General features: G+C 46.3%; 1 non-coding gene across 1 annotated transcript, besides 1 other annotated feature; it reads left to right on the top strand.

Annotated features, from left to right (window-relative positions):
- On the top strand, positions 1-104 carry LOC124901199 (small nucleolar RNA U13). Its single transcript, XR_007059163.1, has one exon. It is a non-coding gene; the product is annotated as a small nucleolar RNA U13 (small nucleolar RNA).
- Positions 14,758-15,258: an enhancer, noted in NCBI's record as "H3K4me1 hESC enhancer chr5:76094678-76095178 (GRCh37/hg19 assembly coordinates)". NCBI's record gives its function as "activates a minimal SCP1, AML or CMV promoter by ChIP-STARR-seq in primed H9 embryonic stem cells {active_cell/tissue: H9 hESC(primed)}" and the evidence as "EXISTENCE:reporter gene assay evidence [ECO:0000049][PMID:30033119]".

Below are 18,541 nucleotides of genomic sequence, written 5' to 3' on the forward strand. Positions count from 1 at the left end.
ATCCTTTTGTAGTTCAAGAGCATAATGATCGGGCGTTCACATGCGTGTGTCAGATGTGCCACCCTCGAACCTTGTTAGGATGTTGGCACATTACCTGTCTGACATAAAAGGAAAATAATAAATAAAAATATGTCAAAGGAATATATTCTGGGGCAAAAGATTTTTATTCCTTTCAGGATCTGCTATCTGTCGTGTGATGCTATACTAGAATCAGGTTGGAATTTGGTATTTTATTGCTACAAAGAATCTGCTTTGTCAGTCATAAGATCTCTGTTTTAATGTTAATGCTGGTCAGCTGTGCCTGAATTCCAAAGGGAGGAGAGTATAATGAGGCATATGAGACCCTCATACCCGGGTTTGAAATCCCCTTGGTGGAGAGGAAGGGGTCTGTTTAGTCATTTGGGGGAGGAGCTTATAATTTCATTTTTGGCTCACATTACCCTGGTGGGAATTCGTGACTGGAAGACAGCACGAGGGAGTCTTCCAGGATTCTGGTAGCATTCTGATTCTTGATTTGAATTCTGGTTCTATGGATATGAATTTTATAAAAATTCATGAAACTGCAAACTTATCATATGTACACTTTTTTTTTTTCTTGAGACAGAGTCTCACTCTATCATCCAGGCTGCAGTGCAGTGGCATAGTCTTGGCTCACCGCAAACTCTGCTTTGCGGATTCAAGCGATTCTGGTGCCTCAGACTCTTGAGTAGCTGGGACTACAGGCGTGCACCACCATGCCTGGCAAATTTTTGTAGTTTTAGTAGAGACGGGGTTTTGCCATGTTGGCCAGGCTGGTCTTGAACTCCTGACCTCAAGTGATCCACATGCTTCAGCCTTTCAAAGTTCTGGGATTAAAGGCATGAGACACTGCACCTGGCTGACATGTACACTTTTTGTAGGTATGTGATACTTCAATAATTTTACATATATTTTAAAAATTAAATAAATGTATGTATTTTAAAACCTAGCCTCATGTGCATACACACAAAAAAATAATTACATCATATAGAACTTCATAAAGAATGTCCAAAATTTAGAAACACACATACACACACGTGTGCAAACACACACATGCACAGTTAGGAGAAAGAGAGATCCTGGTAGTGTGATAGAAAAAAGAGGTTCAGCCAGGTGTGGTGGCTCAAGCCTGTAATCCCCGCACTTTGGGAGGCCGAGGCGGGCGGATCACGAGGTCAGGACAACGAGACCGTTCTGGCTAACACGGTGAAACCCCATCTCTACTAAAAATACAAAAAACTAGCCGGGCGTGGTGGCAGGTGCCTGTAGTCCCAGCTACTTGGGAGGCTGAGGCAGAAGAATGGCGTGAACCCGGGAAGCGGAGCTTGCAGTGAGCAGAGATCACGCCACTGCACTTCAACCTGGGCGACAGAGCAAGACTCCGTCTCAAAAAAAAAAAAAAAAGAAGAAGGTTCACATTTGTGGAGTGTGATTAAAAAAAAAACAATCCTCAACCCCTAGAAGATGGGAAGAAAGCAGGTTTGAGGAGGAAGAAGAATTAGAAAGCAGTATAGTATGACTCACCCAAGAACAATGACAACCAGCACTGCCCTTTGTCACTTGGACTTTGAACAAACAGTTGGTAAAATTATTTTGAGGTGTGGGTGAGTAAGGGGGTGTGCCCTGGGGCATTACTTGCTCAAATTGGTTTCTGCCCTGTATGAGATCAACACATAGATCACACATTAACTACTCCCATCCCACTTGAAAATGGCCCGTATACCATCAGGAGAAAGACCTCGACCATTTCCCATGATTATTCTTGTTATTCTAACATCCTTCAGATTGAGTGTTAAGTCCATATATTATGAAATTAATGAATCTTTCCAGAATCTCAAGCAGCAGTTCTATTATAATGTAAATCAGAAATCTTTGAGACGCTCCTTTTTTTTTGAGACAGAGTCTCGCTCTGTCGCCAGGCTGCAGTGCAGTGGCACAGTCTCAGCTCACTGCAACCTCTGCCTCCTGGGTTCAAGCGATTCTCCTGCCTCAGCCTTCCGAGTAGCTGGGATTACAGGTGCCCACCACCAAGCCTGGCTAGTTTTTGTATTTTTAGTAAAGACACGGTTTTGTCATGTTGACTAGGTTGGTCTCGAACTCCTGACCTCAGGTGATCCACCTGCCTCAGCCTCCCAAAGTGCTGGGATTACAGGCATGAGCCATCGCACCTGGCCTGAGAAACTTGTTAAAAACACAGATTTCTTGGGGCAAAGATTCAGCAGGTGACCGGTGGATCCGAAGAATCTTCATTTTAACCAGCTTCCCTTGCCTTTCCATCTGCCATAAAAGTCTGGATTTTAGCCGGGTGTGGTGGCTCACGCCTATAATCCCAGCACTTTGGGAGGCCGAAGCAGGCGGATCACCTGAGGTCAGGAGTTCGAGACCAGCCTGGCCAACGTGGTGAAACTCCGTCTCTACTAAAAATACAAAAATTAGCCGGGCATGGTGGCGGGTGCCTGTAATCCCAGCTACTCGGGAGGCTGAGGCAGGAGAATCGCTTGAACCTAGGAGGCGGAGGTTGCAGTGAGCCAAGATCGCGCCATTGCACTCCAGCCTGGGCAACAAGAGCGAAACTTCATCTCAAAAAAAAAAAAAAAAAAAAAAAAAAAAGGCCGGGTGCAGTGGCTCACGCCTGTAATCCCAGCACTTTGGGAGGCCGAGGCGGTTGGATCACGAGGTCAGGAGATCGAGACAATCCTGGCTAACACGATGAAACCCCGTCTCTACTAAAAATACAAAAAATTAGCCGGGCGTGGTGGTTGGTGCCTGTAGTCCCAGCTACTTGGGAGGCTGAGGCAGGAGAATGGCATGAACCCAGGAGGCAGAGCTTGCAGTGAGCCAAGATCGCACCACTGCACTCTAGCCTGGGCAACAGAGTGAGACTCCGTCTCAAAAGAAAAAAAAAAAGTCTGGATTTTATCTGTGCATTTTATGTGTCAACTTGACTGGACCACGGGATGCTCAGATATTTGGTTAAACATTATTCTGAGTGTAACGCTGAGGGTGTTTCTGGATGAAATGAACATTTCTATAGGTTGACTGAGTTAAGCAAATTGCCCTCCCCCATGTCTGTGGGCCTCATTCAATCGTTGAAGGCCTGAATACAACAAAAAGGCTGAATATAACAACATTTGTTCTCTCTGGCTGACTGTTTTTGCGCTGGGAACATTAGGCTTCTGCCTTTGGGCTTGGACTTGGACTGGAATTTACATCATTTGTTCCCCTGGGTCTCCAGCTTGGCAACTGCAGATCTTGGGATTTCTCAACCTCCATAACTACATGAGCCAATTCATTTGTATATGTGTATATATTGGCTCAGGACAGCACACCTGACAACTCTGGTTCCCAGCTGCAGGGGGAGGCTACCCAAGTATCTGGCAGATCTCCAACTATGCATGCACAGGGTAGACTCCAAGCAGTTCAGATAAGGCTAAAATAACAGAGGCTTCAGCTGTTCACTCACCACGGGGGAGGCAAAATTCAGAATTTGAGTTCAGCCAAGTTAACTGCCTACTAAACTAAAAATTTGGGATAAGCCAGGTGCAGTGGCTCACACCTGTAATCTCAGCACTTTGGGAGGTCGAGACAGGCAGATGACTTGAGCCGAGGAGTTCAAGACCAGCCTAGGCAACATGACAAAACCTCATCTCTACAAAAAAAATAAGAATTAGCGGGGCATAGTGGTGTGTGCCTATAGTCTCAGCTACTTGGGAGGCTGAGGTGGGAGGATCACTTGAGCCCAAGAGGCAGAGATTTCAGTGAGCCGAGATCATGCCCCTGCACTCCAGCCTGGGCAACAGAGTGAGTCCCTGCCTCCAAATAATAATAATAGGTCTGGCCCAGTAGCTCACGCCTGTAATCACAGCACTTTGGGATGCCTTAGAGGGCAGATCACCTGAGGTCGGGAGTTCAAGACCAGCCTGACCAACATGGAGAAATCCCATCTCTACCAAAAATACAAAATTAGCCAAACTTGGTGGCACATGCCTGTAATCCCAGCTACTCGGGAGGCTGAGGCAGAAGAATCATTTGAACCTGGGAGGCGGAGGTTGCAGTGAGCCAAGATCGCACCATTGTACTCCAGCCTGGGCAACAAGAGCGAAACTCCATCTCAAAATAAATAAATACGTAAAATAATAATAATAATAAATAATTTGGAATGTCCTGGCTGGGTACTCAGCAGGTCACTGAATATGCAGATATGTGGGAGAACAAGGGTAGGGGAGTGAGCAGGAACCTGGGGAGACCAAAAAGCAGAGAAAGAACTCGGACAGGTCTTGCCACTGCAACAGTCAGAGTAGGAGGCAAGTGCCACTGCCACAGCCGCCAGACACGGGCCCTTGCTGCTCCTGGACTCTTGACCCTGCCACCCTGGAAACAATCTGTCATTCTCCTGACATGCAGGTACTAATGCCCTCAAAAGTCAAAAATCCTGGGTAGGAATGTCTGATTGGTGTAGCCGGTATCATATGCCAGTGCCCCAACTACCAAGGAGAAGGGGAAAAGAATGTCTGTGCGTCCTTCGGCTGCCAGAGTAGGGTACCTCCTGCAAGCTCATATTTCCCCAGGAAGCAGGAAGCAGGAAGCAGGAGCCCATGCCAGGAGGGCCACTCTATTGCCAAAAGGAAATCACAGCCAAAAAAAAAACAAAACACTCTTTTTTTTTTTTTTTTTGAGAAGGAGTCTCTCTCTGTCACCCAGGCTGGAGTGCAGGGGTGCGATCTCGGCCACTCTTTTTTTTTTTTTTTTGAGAAGGAGTCTCTCTCTGTCACCCAGGCTGGAGTGCAGTGGTGCAATCTCGGCTCACTGCAAGCTCTGCCTCAGGGGTTCGTGCCATTCTCCTGCCTCAGCCTCCCGAGTAGCTGGGACTACAGGCGCCCGCCACCACACCCGGCTAAGTTTTTTTGTATTTTTAGTAGAGATGGTGTTTCACTGTGTTAGCCAGGATGGTCTCGATCTCCTGACCTCATGATCCACCCGCCTCGGCCTCCCAAAGTGCTGGGATTACAGGCATGAGCCACAGCGCTTGGCCTTTTTTTAGACAGAGTCTAGTTCTGTCACCCAGGCTGGTGTGTGTCATGTGCATCCATGTGAAGAGACCACCAAACAGGCTTTGTGTGAGCAATAAAGCTTTTTAATCACCTGGGTGCAGGTGGGCTGAGTCCGAAAAGAGAGTCAGCAAAGGGAGTTAGCAGTGGGGCAGTTTTATAGGATTTGAGTAGGTAGTGGAAAATTACAGTCAAAGGGGGTTGTTCTCTTGCTGGCAGGGGCGGGGGTCACAAGGTGCTCGGTGGGGAGCTCTGGAGACTTATTGTCCAGGAAAAGGAATGTCACAAGGTAATGTCATCAGTCAAGGCGGGAACCGGCCATTTTCACTTCTTTTGTGATTCTTCAGTTGCTTCAGGCCATCTGGATGTATACTTGCAGGCTTGGGCTCAGAAGCCTGACAGTGTGCAGTGGCACAATCTCAGCTCACTGCAACCTCCGCCTCCTGGGTTCAAGCAATTCTCCTGCCTCAGCTTCCCGAGTAGCTGGGACTACAGGCGCACGCCGTCACATCTGGCTATTTTTTTGTCTTTTAGTAGAGATGAGGTTTCACTGGGTTGCCCAGGTTGGTCTCGGACACCTGAGCTCAGGAAATCCACCCTCCTGGGCCTCCCAAAGCGCTAGGATTACAAAAAAATCCTCTTTGACTATCCTCTATTTCCTTTCTTTTGCTCTTTCTTCCCTTATCTTCCTCACCAACTTTTTAATCTACATACAAAATATTCTGTGCATTGTGGAGAGCAGGGAATTGAAAGTGTGGTTGGCTGAATAATGGTCATCCAGAGATAGCAGTCCCTAATCCCTAGCACTTGTAAATGTTGCTGTATAAGGAAAAACGGGCTTTGTGTATGTGACTAATTTAAGGATCTTGCCATGGGGAGATTATCCTGGATTATCTGGGTGGACCATCACAAGTGTCCTTGCACAAGCCAGGCAAAGGGAGATTAGACGCACAGCAAGAGAGGAGGCAACGTGGCCACCAAGGCAGAAATTAGAATAATACGGCCACATGTCAAGGAGAGCCAGCAGCCACCAGGAGCCGGAAGGGACAAGAAGCAGATTCTCCCTAGAGCCTTCCAAAGGCCCACAGCCCTGCTGACAGCTCGCTTCCACCAGTGATACAGATTTCAGACTTCTGGCTTCCAGAACAGTGAGAGAATATATTTCTGTTGTTTTAAACTATCTAGTTTATGGTAATTTGTTACTGCAGTCACAGGAAACAAATACGCAATATGAAGAAGATGTGAAAATATTATACCTTTAAAACAAGGCAGAAAGAAGGAAGCAAGGATGCTGAGCTCATGAGTGCAATGTTAGTCACCTAGCACACAAAGGAGTGAAAGCCAGATAAAATAATCCAGAAAACCATGTGTCTTTCGAAAATAAATCTAGGATTAGAATAGGACAGACTGAGTAACACAGGGAAAAGTAATAACTCTGTTGATCCATCTAAACCAGATATATAATCTCCTGACAAATAGAGCAGGAGGTATGAATAGGAGGACATTTTAGTTGTTTAACTGGTGAAATGTTAGGGGGTGGAAGGGGGAAAGAGTGGCACAGGCTAAATCGGCTAGATGACTCAGAAAATGAATTTGTTTTCAGATAATTGCTTCCTAACGTAGCAATGATGCAGCTCTTAGTCATTCCAATAGCAAACAGCCATTCTGATAGCAATTCCACAGAGACAGCAAACCAGCTAGAACAAAAGACTGCTCCACCCACAACAAGGACTCTGGTGGGAAAAAGTTCCTAGTGAATGAATCCAACATAATTGACTCTGAGCTGCTCTTGTGTCAAAGACAGGCTATGAGAAACTGGCATGGATGGGAACAGCTTCAGACATTGGCTTCCTGTTGTGTCTTCTTGCTGCTGTGAAATGAGGCTCTAAGATAAACAGAGCAGAGGCACATCTGGAGAGGAAGGTTACCAGAAGGGTGATGTCACTAGCAGCAAATCAGAACCCCATCTTTCAGCCTAGCAGGGATTTGAAGGATTTGTATCATAGTATGCAAGGGGCTTCCAGCACTGCATGGCCTCTATCTTTAATCAAAGTCAGAAGCCTACAGGCAGGAGTGGGCTGAGCTTCTCATGTGTGCTCACATCGTGCTGGTGAGCCACTGAAGGCCTGATAGGAGGAGAGTAAGACTCAAAAACTCTGCTTAAAATCCAGATGTGTAAATGAGACGTACTCTATTAAAGAGGACAAGAATCAAACATAGGAAAACTATTATACCACTAAGATGACACAAGGCCCAAGCTGAAGTGCTTAGAAGTTTGTGGATATGAATTAACATATTTTTTTTCTTGAGTTAGCATGTGATTCCTACTCTTTGAGAAAGGTGGCTTTAGCCATGAGCTTGTACTGTTGGTGGGACTTGCTGTTTAATCAGTCAACAAATCACCAATGGGCACAGCTGTGTGCTAAACGCCAACAGGAATATAAAAGCACAGCATCCCTGATCTTAAAGGGTTTTTGCAGTTCTGCTGGGAAAATTAAACAAGCAGGAAACATCAGCATTCCAATGCAGTAAAAGCATATTGTGTACTCTTGCCTGTTGCTGCTACAGGAGTTTATTAATTCATCCACTCAACTAATAGTTATTGAATGTCTGCTTGGTGCCAAGCATGCTTCTGGGATACAGCAGTGAACAAACCAACACCAAATCTCTGCCTCATAGAGCTTACATAGGGTTGGGGAAGGTCAGACGCATTGGAGATATCTACTAGACACCAAGGTGGAGATCAGATTGATGAGGGTGGAGCTCAGGGAAGAGATCTGGACCAGAATTCAGAACTCAGAAGATGTAAACACCAGAGTGGGCTGGAGATGCTTCAGGGAGCAGGGAAGACTTGAATGGGGCCCGTTTCACAACAGCAACAAAAGCCTCTTTCACCAGTTCTCTAGGCCAAGGCCCAAGCCCTCCTGGTTTATCTACTGCCTCTTTTCCCCACTTCTCCTTATCAGTTTCCTCTTTCCGGCCCATTTTCTTCATTCCCATCTGTCTTCTTCCCTTCCCCGTCTGCTTCCTTCATCTCTTCCTTGGATGGTTCCCTTCCTGCTTCCTTGATTCTATTCTCACCCCACTATGTTCCATAATGAATAAGAAAAATCAATTAAGCAAAAAATTATTCTGACCAAAGATGATAGGAAAGGAAAGAATTCTTAGAGGATCACCCCTTGAGAGAGAATTCAGTCTGTGTTAATTCTTTCAATCTGAGTAAAGTCTTCCAGGCTCCTGAGCTTGCCTTTCTGTGTGATATTGTTACAGGAAAGGGGTCCCGATCCAGACCCCAAGAGGGGGTTCTTGGAGTTTGCGCAAGAAAGAATTCAGATTGAGTCCATAGAGTAAAGTGAAAGCAAGTTTATTAGGAAAGTAAAGGAAAAAAGAATGGCTACTCCATAGACAGAGCAGCCCCGAGGGCTGCTGGTTGCCAATTTTTATGTTTTTTTTCTTCTTATCTTTTTTTTTTTTTTTTTTTTTAAGATGGAGTTTCACTCTTGTTGCCCAGGCTAGAGTGCAATGGCCCGGTCTCGGCTCACTGCAACCTCCGCGTCCCGAGTTCAAGCATTTCTCCTGCCTCAGCCTCCCAAGTAGCTGGGATTACAAGCGCCCATCACCATGCCCAGCTAATATTTGTATTTTTTTTAGTAGAGATGGGGTTTCACTATGTTGGCCAGGCTGGTCTTGAACTCCCGACCTCAGGTGATCTGCCTGTCTCGACCTCCCAAAGTGCTGAGATTACAGGTGTGAGCCACTGTAACTGGACTGGTTATTTCTTGATGATATGCTAAACAAGGGGTGGATTATTCATGCCTCTCCTTTTTAGACCATGTAGGGTAACTTCCTGATGTTGGCATGGCATTTGTAAGCTGTCACAGCACTGGTGGGAGCATAGCAGTGAGGATGACCAGAGGTCACTCTCGTGGCCATCTTGATTTTTGGTGGGTTTTGGCTTCTTTTTTTTTTTTTTTTTTTTTTTTTTGAGATGTTGTTTCACTCTTGTTGCCCAGGCTGGAGTGCAATGGTGTGATCCCGGCTCACTACAACCTCCGCCTCCCAGGTTCAAGCGATTCTCCTGCCTCAGCCTCCCGAGTAGCTGGGAATACAGGCATGTGCCACCACGCCCGGCTAATTTTGTATTTTTAGTAGAGACAGAGTTTCTCCATGTTGGCCAGGCTGCTCTCGAACTCCCAGCCTCAGGTAATCTGCTCTCCTTGGCCTCCCAAAGTGCTGGGATTACAGGCATGAGCCACCGCGCCTGGCTGGTTTCGGCTTCTTTACTGCAACCTGTTTTATCAGCAAGGTCTTTATGACCTGTATCTTGTGCCGACCTCATATCTCATCCTGTGACTTAGAATGCCTTAACCATCTGGGAATGCAGCCCAGTTTTCAGCCTCATTTTACCCAGCCCCTATTCAAGATGGAGTTGCTCTGGTTTAACTGCCTCTGACAATATTATCAGATCCTAAAACACAATCTTAGAAATAGCTGCTCTTTCAAAACACTAGACATATATTCAAAGCCATAGAAATGTGAATGCTGACTTCATTGTTAACTGTGCAGAGAGAGGGAAATGAGAGAAAATACATGTAAATTAGCATACTTGTGTTTTCAAAGTTGTTTTTATTTTTTATTTTTTTTGAGACGGAGTCTCACTCTGTCACCCAGGCTGGAGTGCAGTGGCACGATCTTGGCTCACTGCAACCTCCGCCTCCGGGATTCAAGCGATTCTCCTCTCTCAGCCTCCCAAGTAGCTGGGACTACAGGTGCTTGCCACCATGCCCAGCTAATTTTTTGTATTTTTAATAGAGATGGGTTTTCACCATGTTAGCCAGGATGGTCTTGATCTCCTGACCTTGTGATCTGCCTGCCTCGGCCTCCCAAAGTGCTGGGATTACAAGTGTGAGCCACCATTCAAAGTTGTTTTAACAATCTTATAAATTCCTTTTTTTTTTTTTTTTTTTGAGACAGAGTCTCACTCTGTTGGCCAGGCTGGAGTGCAGTGGTACAACCACGACTCACTGCAGCCTCAACTTCCTGGGTTCAAGTGATCCTCCCACCTCAGCCTGCCAAGTAGCTGGGATTAATTTTTTCTATTTTTTGTAGAGATGGGGGTCTCACTATGTTGATTGGGCTGGTCCCAAACTCCTGGGCTCAAGCAATCCTCCTACCTTGGCCTCCCAAAGTGCTGGGATTATAGGCATGAGCAATGGCACCCAGCCTTACATTCTTTTTGTAAGTTCAGGTGAGTTTGATCTTGTATCATAATAGTGAAGGCCCTCCTTTTTTATGTATCTTTCTTCTTTTTTATTTATCTTTATCCCTCCCTCCCTGTCTCCCTCCCTTCCTTGCTTCCTTCCTTTCCTCCCTCCCTCCCTTCCTTCCACGGAGTCTCTGTCGCCCAGGTTGGAGTGCAGTGATGCGATCTCAGCTCACTGAAACCTCCACTTCCCAGGTTCAAATGATTCTCCTGCCTCAGCCTCCCAAGTAGCTGGGATTACAGGTGCCCACCACCATGCCCGGCTAATTTTTGTATTTTTAGTAGAGACAGGGTTTCACTATGTTGGCCAGGCTGGTCTTGAACTCCCAACCGCAAGCAATCCGCAGGCTTCAGCCTCCCAAAGTGCTGGGATTACAGCCATGAGCCACAGCACCCGGCTTATCTTTTTTCTTTAAAATAATACAAACTCATTCAAATATACTTGGAAAATACGGAAAATAATAGGGAAGGAAATAAAAATCAACTATTTCATCATTCAGAGATGATGATGATTCGGATGATTTCATCACTCAGAGTGAAATAGTTTGTGCTGCCTAACCAAATTCAAAATCTTGGCAGTTTACAACAACAAACATTTATTTTCTCCTTCATGGGCCCATGGCTCCACTGGGTCTCTGAGTGCCCCGCTGGGCTTGGCTGGGCCTGGGTTCAGGCTATGAGTTGGGTTAGGTCTGCTGCACGTGTTTTCTCATTTTTCTCAGATCAGTAGCTTCTGGGAGATATTTTTTCTCATGGAAGACCACAGGAATGCAAAGGTGTGAGCAGAAAAACAGGAAGCCTTTTAAGGTCTTCACTTAAAACTAGCATGCTGTAAATTTTACTCACATTTCACGGGCCAACACCAGTCCTTTGGAGGCTGAGGCAGAAGGATTGCTTGAGCCCAGGAGTTTGAGACCAGCCTGAGTAACATAGCAAGACCCTGTCTCTAAAAAAAAAATTTTTTTTTTTTTTTTAGATGGAGTTTTGCTCTTGTTGCCCAGGCTGGAGTGCAATGGCGCGATCTCGGTTCACCACAACCTCTGCCTCCCAGGTTCAAGTGATTCTCCTGCCTCAGCCTCCCGAGTAGCTGGGATTACAGGCATGTTCCACCACGCCTGGCTAATTTTTGTATTTCTAGTAGAGACAGAGTTTCTCCATGTTGGTCAGGCTGGTCTCCACTTCCTGACCTCAGGCGATCTATCTCAACCTCCCAAAGTGCTGGGATTACAGGCGTAAGCCACGGCACCCGGCAAAAAAATTTTTTTAATTAGCCAGGTGTGGTGGTATACACCTGTAGTACCAGCTATTTGGGAGGCTGAGGTGGGAGGATCACTTGAGCCTAGGAGGTTGAGACTGCAGTGAGCTATGATCATGCCCATGCACTCCAGCCTGAGTGACAGAGCAAGACCCTGTCTGGTTTTTCTTTTTCTTTTTTTTTTTTTTTTCAGATGGAGTCTTGCTCTGTTGCCCAGGCTGCAGTGCAGTGGTGCGATCTCGGCTCACTGCAACCTCCGGGCCCCCCCGATTCAAGTGATTCTCCTGCCTCAGACTCCCGAGTAGCTAGGATTATAGGCGACTGCCACCATGCCTGGCTAATTTTTGTACTTTTTGTATTTTTATATTTTTAGTTTCACCATGTTGGCCAGGCTGGTCTTGAACTCCTGACCTCATGATCCGCCCACCTCAGCCTCCCAAAGTGCTGGGATTACAGGCGTGAGCCACCAAGCTAGGCCACTGCTCACCCAATTTTACCAACAAGAAGACTGAGGGTTAGATGATAGCTTCTTAAACTTTAAAGTATCTATGCATCACTGGTGGATCTTGTTAAAATTCAGATCCTGATTCAGGAGGTCTGGGGTGAGGCCTGGCCCACTTGGAAGTAAAAGGCTAGAAGGTCTAAGTCATTTGCCTCAAGGTCACCCCACTGGTAAAGTTCAGTGCCAGGTTTTCAACCTAGCTTCAGTCTGACTCTAAAACCTGTACTTTTATCATCTCTCAGAGACCCTGCTCCAAGATCTCTTGCAACTCTAAAATTCCAATTCTGGTGCCAGATTAATTGGAGAAATGCAAATAAAATAACAGCAAGCATGTTCTCGTGTCCCAGCTGCTCCCAGTGGAGTAGTGGATGGAGATGCTTGGTTACTTTCTCAGGTCAAAGGAGGCTTCTGGGCAAGGCAGGAGCAAGCTTCTGTACTTTTGTTTTGTTTTTTAAGATATGGGGTCTTGCTATTTTGCCCAGGCTGGTCTTGAGCTCCTCGGCTCAAGCAATCCTCCTGCCTTGGCCTCCCAAAGTGCTGGGACTATGGGTGTGAACCACCACACACAGCCTGTACTTTCATAACTATATGACACTCAAAAGAATTCCTTCTTTGGCCTAGAAAGCCAAACCGACCCACTAGTGGTACAACTCAAAGACCTGCCTCAGAGCTGCAGCAAACGTATAAAGAAGTCATTATAAAAATAGCAACCACAGGTCGGGCGTGGTGGCTCATACCTGTAATCCCAGCACTTTGGGAGGCCGAGGCAGGTGGATCATCTGAGGTCAGAAGTTCCAGACCAGCCTAGCCAACATGGTGAAACCCCGTCTCTACTAAAAATACAAAAATTAGCTGGCAGTGGTGGCGGGCGCCTATAGTCCCAGCTACTCGGGAGGCTGAGGCAGGAGAATCACTTGAACCCTGGAGGTGAAGGTTGGAGTGAGCCGAGATTGCACCATTGCACTCCAGCCTGGGCAACAAGAGTGAACAAAACTTCGTCTCAAAAAAAAAAAAAAAGCAACCGCATATTGTGCCCTTAACTGTGTGCTAGGCACTTATTAAATTTTCATGATAGCCCTATGAGGTAGGACTGTTATCATTATCTTTACCCTCAAATAAGGAAACAGAGGTTAAATAACTTACCCAATGTACAGCTAGAGAAAAGCAGAGGCAGCATTGACTACCAGAGCCAGGGTTTTACGTAGACATATGTTCTATGTAGCGCTGTTTTCAATTAATCATTCCAGCTGATTATGAAAAAGGATGGCAGCCTTGGGACAAAGGGTTTCTATACACTCCCACGCCCAGTAAAATCCCCCATCAGACATGATGACTTACATATATGGAATCATATATGAAATGGCTGGTCCTCTTCTCTAATCTTCTTCTGAGAAAAACATCTGCCAAATAGCAAAATAAGATACAGTCTCATGGCCAGGCACAGTGGCTCACGCCTGTAATCCCAGCACTTTGGGAGGCCGAGGCAGGCAGATCACCTGAGGTCAGCAGTTCGAGACCAGCCTGGCCAACATGGTAAAACCCTGTCTCTACTAAAAACACAAAAAAATTAGCCAGGCATGGTGGCAGGCTCCTGTAATCCCAGCTACTCATGAGACTGAGGCAAGAGAATCGCTTGAACCCGGGAGGTGGAGGTTGCAGTGAGCCGAGATCACACCATTGCACTCCAGAAAAGAGCGAGACTCTGTCTCAAAAAAGAATTTAAAAGTAAATAAATAAAAATAAAGATACAGTCTCAGAAATTATGGATTAACTAATATAGTTGGTTCAACTCAATTCCTCCCTGTTCATTCTTTTTTTTTTTTTTTTTGAGATGGAGTCTGGCTCTGTCCCCCAGGCTGGAGTGCAGCGGCGTGATCTCGGCTCACTGCAAGCTCCGCCTCCCAGGTTCACGCCATTCTCCTGCCTCAGCCTCCAGAGTAGCTGGGACTACAGGCGCCCGCCACCACGCCCGGCTAATTTTTTGTATTTTTAGTAGAGACGGGGTTTCACTGTGTTAGCCAGGATGTTCTTGATCTCCTGACCTCGTGATCCGCCCGCCTCGGCCTCCCAAAGTGCTGGGATTACAGGCGTGAGCCACCGCGCCCAGCCCAATTCCTCCCTGTTCATTCTAAGCCTACTATTTGCTCATGATCCATGCCTTCTAGTTAATTGAACTGTCATTTAAGAGACAATTTATGGCCAGGTGGAGCAGCTGAAGCTTGTAATCCCAGAGCTTTGGGAGGCTGAGGCGGGAGGATTTGGTGAGTCCAGGAGTTTGAGACCAGCAAGAGCAACATAGCAAGGCCCTGTCTCTACAAAAATTTTTTTAAAAAATCAGCCGGGTGTGGTGGCATGTGACTTGGTCCCAACTACTCAGGAGGTTGAGGCGGGAGGATCGCTTGAGCCCAGGAGTTCGAGGTTGCAGTGGGCTATAATCACACCACTACACTCCAGCCTGAGCAACAGAGTGAAACCCTGTCTCTTTAAAAAAACAACAAAAAAAGATCATTTATATATATGACCTAATAAGAAAATACACCACAATACTTCATAAAGTAGAATCTCATATCAAAGGATCAAAGGCCTAATCTGTGACGATAATAACAGCTAGCATTTGTTGATCATAATTTATGTCCTTCTTTTTTTGTTGTTGTTCTTTTTAAAAGTTTTTTTCATTAAAAAAAATTTTAACTTAAAGAGATAGGGTCTCCTTATGTTGGCCAGGTTGGTACTGTCTTCTCATGCTCCCCCACCTACCTGGCCTCAAGCGATCTTCCTACCTCATCCTCCCAAAGTCCTGGGATTACAGGCACTGTCATAATCTATGTCCTTTGGACACATTATCTCATTTAATCTTCCCAACAACCTTATGAAGGAAGTTATTAGGAAAACTGGGTTTGAACCAGGCAGTCTGACCCCAGCCCTTACATACCACTGTCCTAACCCCACACAGAGCTTTACTTCCTCTCTCTGAAACCAGTCCTCCGTGCTGTGCACCCTCTGATGGGGGGAAGGTGTGCATTGTTTGGAGTTATAAAGAGAGGCCTAGGCGGCTGGGCGCGGTGGCTCACGCCTGTAATCCCAGCACTTTGGGAGGCCGAGGCAGGCGGATCACAAGGTCAGGAGATCGAGAACATCCTGGCTAACACGGTGAAACCCCGTCTCCACTAAAAATACAAAAAATTAGCTGGGCATGGTGGAGGACTCCTGTAGTCCCAGCTACTCTGGAGGCTGAGGCAGGAGAATGGTGTGAACCCAGGAGGCGGAGCTTGCAGTGAGCTGGGATCGCGCCACTGCACTGCACTCCAGCCTGGGCGACAGAGCCAGACTCCGTCTCAAAAAAAAAAAAAAAAAAAAGAGAGAGGCCTAATGAAGAAATGGTAGCTGATGGACCTTGGACCAATAAATCAGGCACCAACTTATCTTTATCAACTGCTGGGTACAGTACCAGAACATTATAAATAGACAATAAATGCTTAGTGAGCCCAAATATCTTGTTTAATTAAGAGTTAACTATTGAAGGTGGTCTTGTGTGTGTAGAAATGAGGGGCAGGGCATGCTGGTTGGAGGGCATGTTGCAGCACATCTTTGCCAAGAATGAGCTCAGCCTGTCCTGGAGAGTCAGCTTGTCAACAATAGAGAATTCATTCAGTTGTTCAGCAAACAGGTTTTGAGCATCTACAATGTGCCAGGTACTGTGTTACGGGTTAAGGATATAAAGATGAATAAGACACAACCCCTGACTTCAAATGCTTCATGGTCTTAAGAGGTTTGGTGAGGAGGGGCAGACAGGCACAGATGGAAACAAAGACATGTGCCATGCAGGCTTATAAATGACTTTTAAAGGGTCTAGAGAAAGAGCTGAGGATGAAGAGAGAAAAAGCTGATGGGGGAAGGGAGAGAGAAGTTGGCCATTGACAATCAGGACCCTAGAAGCAGTGAGACACAGAGGACAAGGAGGTCAGTGTGAGAGTGTTGGTGTAGGTGGGGGAGCATGAGAAGACCATGGGCAGAAGAGACCAGCTAGGGCATTGCAGACCCAGGTAAAGCGCCGCTGGACTCCTTGTACATGCACACTCAGTCCCCAAATAGATGCCTTTAGACATGATCCTCTGGTAAGATTAAAAAGGCAGCTGTTTTCCGTGTTTCAGGCAACAACTTCTAGGAAACACTTATGCATTTGCCTTTCTTTCTTTTTTTTTTTTTTTTGAGACGGAATTTCACTCTTGTTGCCCAAGCTGGAGTGCAATGGTGCGATCTCGGCTCACTGCAACCTCCACTTCCTGGGTTCAAGCGATTCTCCTGCCTCAGCCTCCCGAGTAGCTGGGATTAGAGGCACACACCACCACCCCCGGCTAATTTTTTGGATTTTTAGTAGAAACGGGGTTTCACCCTGTTAGCCAGGCTGGTCTCAAACTCCTGACCTCAGGTGATCTGCCCGCCTTGGCCTCCCAAAGTTCTGGGATTACGGGCGTGAGCCATCACACCCAGCTGCCTTTGCCTTTCTTTTTAACTCCTAGTGACCTAGTTATTGAAAGGAGCAGGAAAAATGGTCACACCCCTAACATTCCTGCATAAAGTATTTTTAATATCAGAAGTAATCCAGTAAATCTTCATGGAGTGTCTACCATGGACCAGGCAGGGGCCAAGGAGCTGAGGATACAGCTGTGAACAGAACCCCTGACTTCATGGAGTTTACATTCAAGTGGGGCCACAGGCAGCCAAAAAACCCCAATAGATACACAGCATGTGAGGGAGTGACATACAACATAAGTAAAGGAAAGAAAGCAGGGTAAGGAGAGAGAATGAGGCTGGGGAGGGGATATTCTGTATGGGTGGTACCTGTAATCCCAGCATTTTGGGAGGCCAAGGTAAAAGGATCACTTGAGTCCAGGAGTTCAAAACCAGCTTGGGCAACATAGTAAGACCCTGTCTGTACAAAAATTTAAAAATAAAAAAAAAATAAATAAATGAAAAGACCACTCTGATGGAGTGACAGTGGAGCCAAGACCTGAAGGGGTGAGAAGTTAGCAGATGGCTTGTAGAAGAAGAAATTAAAGTGCTTGATGTATTTTAGAAGTTACAAGTAGGCCTGTGTGGCTGGAGAGAGCATGGAAGGGAAGAGTGGGAGGAGAGGAGCACAGAGGGCCGGAAGTTAATCCTGCAGGGGACCTTTGGCTTTTGCTCTGAGTTAGACGTGAGCCTTGGAGAGTTTGCACAGAAATGGGCCAAGGTCTGGTTTACCTTCTTAAGGATAACTCAGGCTTCTCTGTGAGGGCTGGAATGCAGGAGACAGGGTTGGGCAAAAGGAAACCAGCTGAGAGGCTATTGAGAACTGGGAAAGGGAGGCTGGTGTTTTGGGTGAGGGTGGGAGCAAGAGGAAATTGCAAAAGTTTATCTTGTTCCGGAAATATTTTGAAGGTAGAGCCAAAAGGATTTGCTGATGGGTTGGATGGGAGAGAAAGTGAGTAGTCAGGATGACATGCCTTCCAAGCCTTTTGGCCAGACAAGCTGGGATGGCTGCCAGTTATTAAGACCGGGAAGACTTCTTGAGAAGAACCTCTTTGAGGATGGAATTCAAAAGCTTGGCTTTGGACACATTAGTTTGAGATGACTATTAGGATATACAATATCCTAATTGTACTGGGGACAGTAGTTATCAAAGTAAAGATAGTAAAGATAGTAATTAAAGTTACAGGACTGGATGAGATCACCTAGAGAGTGGTCACAGGTAGAAAAGATATCTGACCCTCAGGGCTCTCCAGTGTGTGGAGGAGGAGGCTGCAAAATAGATTGACAAGGAGCAGCCAAGGAGGGAGGAGGAGAGTCCAGAGACAGCAGTATTCTAGAAGCCAACCGCTGCCGAGAGGGGAGCAAGACAGACACTGAAGGTTAACTGTTGCATTTGGCATGATAGATAGAGTAGTGGGGATGGACGCCTGGTGTCCCTATCAGCATTTGATGGGAAAAAAATGGGAGGGGATGAGGAGATAGCAAGAGCAGACATCTCATTTAAGGAGTTTTGTATAAAGTGCAGTCAAGAAAGGCCGGGCGTGGTGGCTCACGCCTTTGTAATCCCAACACTTTGGGAGGCTGAGGTGGGCAGATCACGAGGTCAGGAGTTCAAGACCAGCAGCCTGGCCAACATAGTGAAACTTCGTCTCTCCTAAAAATACAAAAAAAAAATTAGCCAGAAATGAGTGACAAATGTAATCAAAGTTTTACCTGAAGAGACCTGAAGAGAATAAAACAATAGCTTCCATATATTGAGAACTTGTGAGATGCTTCCATATATTGAGAACTTGTGGCTGAGCGCAGTGGCTCACGCCTGTAATCCCGGCACTTTGGGAGGTCCAGGCAGGCAGATCATGAGGTCAGGAGTTCAAGACCAGCCTGGCAAACATGGCGAAACCCCATCTCTACTAAAAATACAAAAATTAGCCGGGCATGGTGGT

This window comes from Homo sapiens, chromosome 5 (genome assembly GCF_000001405.40).
Source record: "Homo sapiens chromosome 5, GRCh38.p14 Primary Assembly".
NCBI lineage: Eukaryota > Metazoa > Chordata > Mammalia > Primates > Hominidae > Homo > Homo sapiens.